Source organism: Homo sapiens, chromosome 14 (genome assembly GCF_000001405.40).
Source record: "Homo sapiens chromosome 14, GRCh38.p14 Primary Assembly".
NCBI lineage: Eukaryota > Metazoa > Chordata > Mammalia > Primates > Hominidae > Homo > Homo sapiens.
In genome coordinates, this window is record NC_000014.9 from 34,956,876 (window position 1) to 34,969,645 (window position 12,770).

Here is a 12,770-nt window from a genome sequence, read left to right on the forward strand (position 1 = left end):
TCTGTAATTCCAGCTACTTGGGAGGCTGAGGCAGGAGAATCGCTTGAACCCAGGAGGTGAAGGTTGCAGTGAGCCGAGATCATGCCATTGCACTCCAGCCTGGAAAGCAAGAGCAAAACTCCATCTCGGGGGAAAAAAAAAAAAAAAAAGGCAGATTTACTAGAGTATGAAAATACACTGCAAGGGTGAAACAGGCAGGTCAGCAAGAAAAATGCTGACTGCAAAGAGACAAGGGCTTGCTGTGAGTTTTTATAGAATGGTGTTTCTGCTGCATGCTGAAGAGGGCTTTGTGCAGTACTGATAATGCCAAGGTTGTGGTGAGCTAACTTACAAGTGTCTGGTGATAAGTTGGGCACAGGATAACTTGACTTATTTGTGCAGGAGGGCTATGTGTCTTTTTTTTTTTTTTTTTGAGATGGAGTCTTGCTCTGTTGCCCAGGCTGGAGTACAGTGGCACGACCTCAGCTCACTGCAACCTCCGCCTCCTAGGTTCAAGTGATTCTCCTGCCTCAGCCTCCCGAGTAGCTGGGATTACAGGCATGTGCCACCATGCCCGGCTAATTTTTGTATTTTTAGCAGAGATGGGGTTTCTCCATGTTGGTCAGGCTGGTCTCGAACTCCCGACCTCAGGTGATCCGCCTGCCTCGGCCTCCCAAAGTGCTGGGATTACAAGCATGAGCCACCGCGCCTGTGTTAGCTAGGATGGTCTTGAACTTCTGACCTCATGTGATCTGCCTGCCTCAGCCTCCCAAAGTGTTGGGATTACAGGCGTGAACCATTGCGCCCAGCCAGGTTTTATTTTTTTAACTGTTCTTTGCTGACCAGGGTCACAGAGTTGGCCTTACCTAGGATTGTGGGTGGTTAGGAGGTTTCACGGGCCTAAGTCCCTGAATTGGGAGTTAAACTGGGCAGGGTCGCTGTTGGACCATGGGGGAAACAGCATTTACAGCCTAAAAAGACACATGCACATGTATGTTCAATGCAACACTATTCACAATAGCAAAGACATGGAATCAACCTAAATGTCCATCAATGGTAGAGTGGATAAAGAAAATGCGGTACATATATACCAAGGAATACTATGCAGCCATAGAAAAGAACAAGATCATGTCCTTTGCAGGAACACAGACGGACCTGGAGGCCATTATCCTTAACAAACTAACACAGGAACAGAAAACCAAATACCACATGTTCTCACTTACAAGTGGGAGCTAAATGATAAGAACACATGGACACATAAAGAGGAACAACAGATACTGAGGCCTATTGGAGAATAGAGGTTGCGAGGAGGGAGACGATCAGAAAAAATAACTAAAGGGTACCACACTTACCACCTGGGTGACAAAATAATCTGTACAGCAAACCCCCATGTCACAACTTTATCTATATAACAAACTTACACACATATCCCTGAACTTAGAAGTTAAATACCCCTCCCAATACTATATACCTAAACAAATTAATTTAGACTACAATCTATAAATCTTACAGACAACAGGAAAGATAGTAAGAAAAAACGTATTTGCTCAAGAGCAAAACAAACTTTTATTTTAAAAATAAAAGTTTACTTTGTATCATATGATTTCTTTTCAAATAAGCACACGGTCTTACAAATATATAATATTCAAAATGTTTTGGGGTCTGTTTTTTTTTTTTTGAGAAAGAGTCTTGCTCTGTCACTCAGGCTGGAGTGCAACGGCGCAATCTAGGCTCACTGCAACCTTCGCCTCCTGGGATCAAGCGATTCTCCTGCCTCAGCCTCTCGAGTAGCTGGAACTACAGGCACACACCACCACGCCTGGCTAATTTTTGGAGCTTTTTAGTAGAGACAGGGTTTCACCATGTTGGCCAAGCTGGTCTCGAACTCCTAACCTCAGGTGATCAGCCCATCTCAGCCTCCCAAAGTGCTGGGATTACAGGCATGAGCTACCATGCCTGGCCTGTGGTCCGATTTTTAAATATTTTCCTTCTTTTTTCTCAGTGTTAGGAATACTAAAATATGGGCCTGGTGCAGTGGCTCACGCCTGTAATTCCAGCACTTTGGGAGGCCAAGGCGGGCGGATTGCCTGAGGTCAGGAGATCGAGACCAGTGTGGCTAACTTGGTGAAACCCTGCCTCTACTAAAAATAAAAAAAATTAGCCGGGCGTAATGGCACGCACCTGTAGTCCAAGCTACTCAGGAGGCTGAGGCAGGAGAATTGCTTGAACCCGGGAGGTGGAGGTTGTAGTGAGCTGAGATCACACCACTGCACTCCAGCCTGGGCAACAGAGCGAGACTCCGTCTCAAAAAAAAAAAAAAAAAAGAATACTAAAATAATAAATTTAAAGTTGGCCTGGAGCCTGTAAACATATTACTCAATATAAAGAAAAAGTCAATCATTTCAAACTTTTGAAACATGTATGAAATACATGAAATATGTAAATTAACCTCCTGATCTATCACAGCTCTCAAACAATTCCCCCCTTTTCTTTTCCATTTCTGTTCACTCTTTTCCCCCACATCCCACAACTATACAGATAGGGTAAAAGAGAATCAGGTGGATCAATTAATTATGGCAGCCCACAGAGGTGCTCTTAAGGTCCCAGGAAAACCATAAAGGAATAGCTCTGGGCGAACTCTGGAATGCTAACAATGCAGAGGCCACAAGGTAGCTCAAATCAATTTAACCGATATTTAATAGGCACCTCCTATGCACAAGATACCATGCAGAGATATACACTATGATGAATGAGACACAATATTTACTCTCAAATATGTTATCTAGTAAGGGGATTAGAAAAGCTATGTTAGTAAGTTCATACAACAGCTGCCATCAAAGGAATAAGCCAACACCAGGGATATGAATGAGGGAAAGTTTACCTCTAGCCTGAAGAAAAGGGAAAAAGAATTTCAATCCATAGGCCTTGCCTGTAAAGACAGTGGATAAGAGACATGTATGTACATTACTGAAACCCCATTATAATGACAGAATAGGGGTTTTTAAAAGAAGGTGTAAACCTTCAAGGATGGGTAGAATGGGAAAGGAAATAACAGATATAAAAATTTGTTGTTAGAACAAAAGGAGAAGTGATAAGGAATTTAGGAGACCAGAGAAAATTGATTTCAAAGATAGAAGTATTGAGAGCTAAGACTCAAATCTGACTTATGCTACAGAATCTCCAAAAGGCTAATAATTGGTGGTACCAGGTGAAGTAGGGGGAAATGCTAAAAATAAGGGAATGTGGCTGAAAGTCAGATTAAGACGCAGTCAGATCCCTATTTCCCTTTCTCCTACTCCAGCAAATGAATAGAGGTTTATTCTCTGGAAATGGTTGAACCAGACAACCAGGGGATTCCAGGCCTCGCTGAAAGAAAGGGTAACGTACTGAAAACTGAGGAATTAAGGAAACATGCATGCAGAATGCTGAGAACCCTGCCTCTTCAACCCTTTTGCTCTACCACTCTGTTCCCAGTATGCAGCTTGTTATTCAGCTAGAAGATTGAAAAGGTTTTTTCTAGGCAATCAGATCAGCCCAAAAGGAAAGATCTTAAGATATTTCACTAGATATTTCCCAACTAATGAACTACCCAGCAAGATCACTCAATAGTGAAGTCCACAGTTAACAATCCCCACTCAGAACTTCAATCAGCTTTTTTGTTACTCATTCTTAAGCATGAGCAGAAAACCAAGGATTCAGAGAAAAGCCCTGTACAAAAGATGAAACAGGCCGGGCGCAGTGGCTCACGCCCGTAATCCCAACACTTTGGGAGGCCAAGGTGGGTGGATCATTTGAGGTCAGGAGTTTGAGGCCAGCCTGGCCAACATGGTGAAACCCAGTCACTACGAAAAATACAAAACTTAGCCAGGCTTGGTGGCATGTGCCTGTAATACCAGCTACTTGGGAGGCTGAGGCAGGAGAATTGCTTGAACCTGGGAAGAGGAGGTTGGAGTAAGCTGAGATCATGCCACCGCACTCCAGCCTGGGTGACAGAGCAAGACTCTGTCTCAAAAAAAAAAAAAAAAAAAAAAAAGAAAGAAAGAAACAACAACAAAAACAAATGAAAAAGGAAAAATTGAACCTTGGAGGCTAGTTGGATTTCAACAGATACAATAAAAAACAATCCTAGAATCCCTTTCTGTTAATTTTAAGATACCTCAAATCCATTTGTTTATAGCTTTAAGGAAGGAAACTGTTAAGGTTTCTAAAAGTCATAAGGTGGTATAAAAATACCAGGTGTGGCTGGGCGCGGTGGCTCACACCTGTAATCCCAGCACTTTGGGAGGCCGAGGCGGGCGGATTACGAGGTCAGGAGATTGAGACCATCCTGGCTAATATGGTGAAACCCGTCTCTACTAAAAATACAAAAAATTAGCCAGGCATGGTGGTGGGTACTTGTAGTCCCACCTGCTCGGGAGGCTGAGGCAGAAGAATGGTGTGAACCCAGGAGGCAGAGCTTGCAGTGAGCTGAGATCACACCACTGCACTCCAGCCTGGGCGACAGAGTGAGACTCCGTCTCAAAAAAAAAAAAACAAAACAAAAAAACCAAAAAACCAGGTGCAGTGACTGAGGCCTGTAATCCTAGCACTTTGGGAGGCTAAGGTGGGCAGATCGCTTGAGCTCAGGATTTCAAGACCATCCTGGGCAATGTGGTGAAACCCTGTTTCTACCAAAAAAAACACAAAAATTAGCCAGGTTGGTGGAGCACACCCGTAGTCCCAGCTACTTGGGAGGCTAAGGTGGGAGGATCGTCTGAGCCCAGGGAGGGACCCTGTCTCAAAAAAAAAAAAAAAAGGTATAAAAAAAGTTTTATCTATTTATTTATTTGAGACAGAGTCTTGCTGTGTTGCTCAGGCTGGAGTGCAGTGGCATGATCTCAGCTCACTGCAACCTCCGCTCCTCGGGTTCAAGCAATTCTCCTGCTTCTGTCTCCCAAGTAGCTGGGATTACAGGGCAGGCGCCACCACACCTGACTAATTTTTGTATTTTTAGTAGAGACGGGGTTTTGCCACATTGGCCAGGCTGGTCTCAAACTCCTGACATCAGGTGATCTGCCCGCCTTGGTCTCCCAAAGTGCTGGAATTACAGGTGTAAGCCACCAGGCCAGCCTCAGAGTTTTTATTTTTTTAAAAGACAAAGTCTAGCTGTTATCCAGGCTGGGCTGCAGTGGCATGACTGTAGCTCAATGAAGCCTCAAACTGCTGGGCTAAAGGAGTCCTGCCTCAGCCTCCCAGGTAGCCGGGACTTACTGGTGTGTGCCACCATACTTGGCTAATTTTTTTTTTTTTTTTTTTTTTTGTGGGGGAGAGATAGTTTCTCAGGCTGGTATTGAACTCCTGGCCTCAAGCAATCCTCCCACCTTGGCCTGCTAAGGTGCTGGAATTATAGGCATGAGGCATTGCACCTGGCCAAAAAGTTTTTATCGGGTTGCTGATGGCCACAGAAGCTACAAGCCAGGAAAGTATGTGGATGGGTGTGTCTGCATATTTTCCTTTGAAAAGGGGTAAAAAACATCTTTAAAAATGTAAGTAAGGCTGGGGGCAGTGGCTCACGCCTGTAATCCCAGAACTTTGGGAGGCCAAGGTGGGCGGATCACGAGGTCAGGAGTTCGAGATCAGCCTGGCCAATATGGTGAAACCCTGTCTATACTAAAAACACAAAAAAGATCTGGGCGTGGCGGTGCTTGCCTGTAGTCCCAGCTGCTCAGCAGGCTGAGGCAGAAGAATCGCTTGAACCTGGAAGGTGGAGGTTTCAGTGAGCCGAGATCGTGCCACTGCACTCTAGTCAGGGTGACAGAGTGACACTCCATCTCAAAAAAAAAAAAAAAAAGTAAGTAAATATGTATTTTGTACACCTTTATTATCTTCTTTAAAAAGAAACCAACAAAAATTACTTGGTTATCCATTTATAAACCATGATTTTTAAGAGTTCATAATTTTTAAATATCAATTTTCAATTATATTGATTCTATTAGTTATGTGATTCTTGTGCAAGAGCAAGGTATTATTGTTCACTACATATGGGATAGTGAGAAAATACCATGAACTTACTATTGGACAACGAATTTACTCTGATCATTTGCCTCTATCTCTAATATGAGCAAGTCAGGGAGAGAGAGAGGTGGGAAAGAGGAGGGAATGAAATAATTTTCTTCTGTAAAAAAGGGGAGGCCGGGTGCGGTGGCTCACGCCTGTAATCCCAGCACTTTGGGAGGCCGAGGCGGGCGGATCACGAGGTCAGGAGATCGAGGCCATCCTAGCTAACACAGTGAAACTCCGTCTCTACTAAAAATACAAAAAACTAGCCGGGCATGGTGGTGGGCTCCTGTAGTTCCAGCTACTCGGGAGGCTGAGGCAGGAGAATCACTTGAACCGAGGAGGTGGAGGTTGCAGTGAGCCAAGATTGGGCCACTGCACTCCAGCCTGGGCGACAGAGCGAAACTCTATCTCAAAAAAAAAAAAAAAAAGGGGGCGGGGTGGTGGAAGACTACATCCTTAATCTTACTGAGGTACATCTTTCCACATTAGATTGCACTTAACATCAGAGATACTCGGTATTTCTCTGCATTGCCATCAGAAGTACAGAACTATTAGTGAAATGATAAAGATTACTGCATTAACCAAAAAAATTCCTTTCTCCTTTTTTGTTATTTTTCTTCTTAAGTACGGGAAAAATAGAAAACCTCTGTTGTAGCCTAACCTATGGCATCATTCCCCCATGAACTGCTATTCTGTGGCATACACGATACCTGCTGAAAAAGAGGTATTGTGAGCATTACTTAGGCCTTTATGTATTTTTGACATTCACAGATTAATTAAATACACTTCTAACCAACCTCTAGAGATTCAAAAATGCTGCTACCAAAACTGTATCTGGTAGGAAGACAATTCAAAAAATTTTACTTTCCAATAAAATCAGGGAAGAGAGAAATATGTGAATAGGATATAATTACAACAATTCATCTCTATTAATGTTTTAAAATATTTAAGAGAATTCAATCTGTTTCTATACAATGGCAACCAAGAACAGATTGGAAAACAATGCAAAAGAGATTTGACTAAGTTAAAAGGTACCTTTATTCTGTCAGTGAGCAGGTATTTTTTTATGACCATTTCCTGCAATTGGCGAAAAGTCTCCTTTCAATTCTACTCCATAGAGTTGCACTGCTGAACTGGAAAGATAACCCTAAAATAGGAAGATACGCTATGATGCAAATGAATGAACTCTTACCCATGGATTTATTTCTACTTGAAATTTTAAAAATCAAGCTTTAAAAAATATAGTTTGGCCAGGCATGGTGGCTCACACCTGTAATCCCAGCACTTTGGGAGGCCAAGGCAGGTGGATCACCTGAGGTCAGGAATTCCAGACCAGCCTGGCAAAGGTGGCGAAACCCCGACTCTATTAAAAATTCAAAAAATTAGCCAGGCGTGGTGGTGGGCACCTGCAGTCTCCACTACTCGGGAGGCTGAGGCAAGAGAATTGCTTGAATCCGGGATGCAGTGGTTTCAGTGAGCCAAAATCACGCCACTGAACTCCAGCCTGGGCAACGGAGTGAGACTCTGTCTCAAAACATATAAATAAAAATAATTTGATAAAGTAAAAATAAAATGAAAGTAATATCTTGTAGTTTATGTAAAACTTACAACTTCCTGAACTGAAAAAGGCTCTTACTGATCAGAGCCTTGATTATAGTTTATTAATTCCCATTATCTAAAATAGTTATATTTTTAAAGATGGGTTTCCTTTATTTTTTGAGACAGGGTGTCACTCTGCTGCCTAGGCTGGAATGCAGTAGCATAATCACAGCTCACTGCACTCTCATCTTCCCTAGGCTCAGGTGATCCTCTGAACTCAGCCTCCCAAATAGCTGGGAAGAGGAGTGCACACCACCATGCCTGGCTAATTTTTGTATTGTTTTGGAGAGACCGAGTTTCACCATGTTGCCCAGGTTGGTCTCGAATTCCTGGGCTCAAGTGATCCTCCAGCCTTGGCCTCCCAAAGTGCTGGGATTACAGGCATGAGCCACCATGCCCAGTCGGCCACATGTTTTAATAAATCTACTAATGACAACCAGAAATCCTATTTCAGATTTTGGTAAAACCATTTAAGATCATAAGAAATAAACACTCATGATTTAATTTTAAAAAACCCACACTGAAGTGATGTTTTAGAAACAAGCATTCAAACTTAGGATCACAAAAAACTGGAGCAAGATGTGTCCTTGGATAGCATTTAGTTTGCTCATTTAAAATGAGGAACTAGAGGCCTAGAGGTGTTAAGTGGTTTGCTTATGGCCATACAGTAATATCCTAGGTCAAGTAAATTTGTCAGCTTTATAAAAGCTCTTATCAAAGTTCAACATACTATTTCGGTACAGTACCAAAAAAAGGGGTTAGAAGGCAGTAGTGACTGATAAAATAGCAAAGTGTTACAAGAAAGAGTCATACACTTCTGTTTTGTTGATATTCCTTAATTTGCATTGCAGAGACAAAGTAGTAAAGGAAATCAGACACGTGGTCTTTGAAATCCCAAATTCCATTGTCATCATAAACTAGAATATAAGTGTCTACCTATGTCATAACTTATTATTCTTTTACTTTAATAAATAAAGCCACACTGTCACCTTGGATGGTGACAGGCAAAGCTGTTGCTAGCAGAAGAAAATGCTTTCCAAATGTTGATGTCTGCAAGCTGGACAGTACCCCATAAAGGACTATGCTAGGCCTGGAGCTGATGTCAACCAACACCTTTCCTGATATGTCAGAGAGTACATGATGATAAATGAATTTCATTTCCATGAGAGAGAAGTAATGAGAAATAAATCCCAGAGAATTAGAAGAGTGAACATCAAATTTTGCTTGGGTATAAGTAATTGCATTCTGGACTTCTAATTCTTTCATCTATATTTCATCTGTAAAGTATATTTCATGTTTTTGTTCCTTAATCAATGAAAATCATCCAGAAGTTATTTGGAAAAAATTCGTGTGATAATTTTTTACTCATCCACTCTGACTTAGAACAAATATTAAGTCTGACATTTAAGAGGCCTTTAGGGAACAACTACTTAGAAGACCGTCTCTATTCCTGTGCCCCTCATTTCCTTCTTGCTGCTGCTTTAGAGTCCTGGGTTTTTTTCCTTTCTCTACTTCCTATGGCCTGTTGTGCCTGGGACAGCGTCATAACTTCCATACCATCCGGCTTTCTCACCTTACACCAGAACTAACCACAGAAGTACTATGTATTGCTGCATAGACTGTAGACTACGAAATGTATGACTGGCTCTGGAGCTATACAGAGTGGCAGCCCTCATCAACCTGGAATAGATTCTGGAGGGCAAGAGAGGAGTGGTGTGAAAGATTCACATACACCCATAAATTGCTTTTATCCCACTTAGTTTAACTGCCACCATTTCTAGCCTGGTAATCTATCTTCTCATCCTAGTTTCTGTCATGAAATATCTGAGATAGCCTGAGTCTGGTTTTCTTCTGATATGTAGGTAACCCAAAGACTTATCTTATGTTCTATGTAATAATGATCAGGAAGGGGAGAAACCTTGGTCCTAAGTAACAGAGGGTGAAAAGTAAAACAGAAGCAGGTAGGCCTATCCCTTAGAAGAGAATAAAAGGTGTAACTAGGCCTCTGGAGTCATTCTTGGGGGTTGGGCTGTAAGCAGTGTAGTCGTTATCTCCCTAGGATCCTCATCTTCTCTATCCTCTTTGCCACACTAGTGCTTCTTTGGGTTACAGAGTCACCACTACAGTCTTGTAGCTAGACATGCCCCTTGTGACAGAGAGGGGGAAAGTCCCTTATGGTGATAACTGTTTCAGATTCATTATAGTTCTCTACAATGGGGAGGCTGGCCTGTTTACCCAGTAATTAAAAATAAGATTTTTACGGGAAGACACATCCTAATCTTCGAATTTTTATCTGTCAGACATAGCTCTTCTATAAATATTTTTAACAGGATGTTAACAGTTATTAACTTTTTTTCTGAGATGTCTCACTTTGTTATCTCACTTTGTTGCCCAGAATGGAGCGCCAGTGGCAAGATCTTGGCTCACTGCAACCTCCGCCTCCCACGTTCAAGCAATCTTCCCACCTTAGCCTCCCATGTAGCTGGGACTACAGGCGTGTGCCACACCACACCCGGCTAATTTTTGTATTTTTATTAGAGATGGGGTCTTGCCATTTTGGCCAGGCTGGTCTCAAACTACTGACCTCAGGTGATCCACCTACCTCAGCCTCCCAAAGTTATTAATAACTTTTTAGTGTTTCTTCTATTATTGTCCAAATCCTTTTCGTTCTGTGAATTTTAACTACCTCAAATGGAAACTAGAAGTATTATTGAGAAATAGGATCTTTTTTTTTTTTGAGACGGAGTCTTGCTGTGTCGCCCAGGCTGCAGTGCAGTGGTGTGATCTTGGCTCACTGCAACCTCCGCCTCCCGGGTTCATGCCACTCTCCTGCCTCAGCCTCCCGAGCAGCTGGGACTACAGGCACCCACCACCATGCCCAGCTAATTTTTTATATTTTTAGTAGAGACGGGGTTTCACCGTGTTAGCCAGGATGGTCTCGATCTCCTGACCTCGTGATCCACCCGCCTCGGCCTCCCAAAGTGCTGGGATTACAGGCTTGAGCCACCGCGCCCGGCCTGAGAAATAGGATCTTAAACTAATAAATCAGAGAAGTTTAATCTCAAATTATAATACAGATACAATATATCTGTTTAGCAACATATTCCAAATTTGGTATTTAATCTTTGATAATGATATCATCTAAGATCAGTAATATAAGCCACAAGATTATTTACCCAGAGGGGTAGCCCACTCTATGTAATAATCCTAAATGTAAGTGAGCAGGGAAATACATGTCTAAAGCAACATGACTAGACAAATCTACCCAGCCTGAACAAAGACAGAAGGCTTTCTGTCACTGGAGAAGTTCTCTAATATGGATTGGGATGCTTCACTGGGTCAAATTATAGCCTGAATGAACGATTTCTCAAGATTATCTATCTCTGTCTTCTGCGTCCATGCCTGCCCAATAATATCTCATCACTATCTGATTTCTTAAGGAGATTTTTTTTTTTTTAGACAGTCTTGCTCTGTCACCCAGGCTGGAGTGCAGTGGTGCGATCTCAGCTCACTGCACCCTCCACCTCCTGGGTTCAAGCGATTCTCATGCCTCAGCCTCATGAGTAGCTGGGATTACAGGTGTGCGCCACCACACCCTGCTATTTTCTGTATTTTTAGTACAGACGGGGTTTTGCCATGTTGGTCAGGCTGGTCTCGAGCTCCTGGGCTGAAGAGATCCACCCATCTCGGCCTCCCAAGTGCTGGGATTACAGGCCTGAGCCACTGTGCCCAGCCAGATGTTTTTCTTTTAAGTGACTGGGTCTCCTGTTGTCCAGGCTGGAGTGCAGTGGCTATACACAGGCCCAATCATACTGCACTGCAGCCCTGAACTCCTGGTTTTAAGCAATCCTTCCACCTCAGCCTCCCAAGTAGCTGGGACTACAGGTACACACCACCATGCCCAGCTCAAGTAGATGTTTTTATGGGGAGAACATTTCAGCCTCCTTGGAAATTATAGTTCTCATTGTAAATCAATCAGTGTATAGTTTACCAATCTCTGTTCAATATGTAGAGTATGAGTCAGTTCCTTTGTATTGTCACCTCTGTTTAGTTTCTGAACCTGCAGAGTTGCCTCTGATTACATAGTTTCTAGATGTGAAAAACATCTCACTGCCTTACTTGACTAGGGAAAAAAAACTGTGAAAAACAGTTTCTAAGCTGGGCATGGTAGCTCATGCCTGTAATCCCAGCACTTTGGGATGCTGAGGCAGGCGGATCACTTGAGGTCAGGAGTTCGAGACCAGCCTGGCCAACATGGTGAAACCCCGTCTCAACCAAAAATACAAAAAAATTAGCTAGGTGTGGTGGCGGGTGCCTGTAATCCCAGCTACTTGGGAGGCTGAGGCACAATTGCTTGAACCCAGGAGACAGAGGCTGCAGTGAGCTGAGATCGTGCCACTGCACTCCAGCCTGGGCGATAAAGCAAGACTCCGTTTCAAAAAACAAAACAAAACAAAACAAAGTTTCTAAATATATCCTGGGGGACATTAAGTGACCTATTCTCCTGAGATAATATTCGTTTACTCTCCCTAACTGCAGTATTTGGTAATAACCATGCCACAGGTTGGCCTTTTGCTTTCAGAAAACATTGAATAGCTTAGTCCAAACTTTGCATACTCATGACATGTAAGAAAAAATACACATAAAGTCATCAGATTTGCATACCTAAGTGCCTACCTAAAGTTGCTGTCTGGTGTGAGCTGCACATCATACAGTAGTTTCTGCTCATTTTTCCTTTCTCATATAATGAATCAATAAGTCTTCATCATAAAGGAATGCACCAAGGTGAACTGTGGGTTCCGGCTGCTGCTGCATCTGGTGGAGAGAAAAACATCAAAAGAAACAAAGTACAAAGAAGTATCTTTTTATTGCTAAATAAAGCAAAATGTCAGTGGTCTATATGCTAACATTCTGAGAGCAACAAAAAGGCACAGTAAGACATGTTTTGCTCATGCAAGTAACTGCTCTACTTTCGTTTTATTTCTGAGACCCTAGCAACTTTTTGACCTGGAATGATGCAAAACAAGCCATGAGAAATACATAAAACTCTAGTTGAAAGGAATCTCATAGATCATTTTGTTTATCCTAAGTAGCATATTTTACAAATACTTACCAGAAACATTTCTTCAAAGAAATTATATTAGTTAATAATA

At 42.4% G+C, this 12,770-nt stretch overlaps 1 long non-coding RNA gene across 1 annotated transcript in view; it reads right to left on the reverse strand.

Moving 5' to 3' along the window:
• SRP54-AS1 (SRP54 antisense RNA 1) overlaps positions 1-12,770 on the reverse strand; it is a 66,087-nt gene that overhangs the window by 40,396 nt on the left and 12,921 nt on the right. The window contains exon 2 of the long non-coding RNA NR_151701.1: positions 12,295-12,432. This is a non-coding gene — a long non-coding RNA (SRP54 antisense RNA 1). The remainder of the gene's footprint in view (positions 1-12,294; positions 12,433-12,770) is intronic.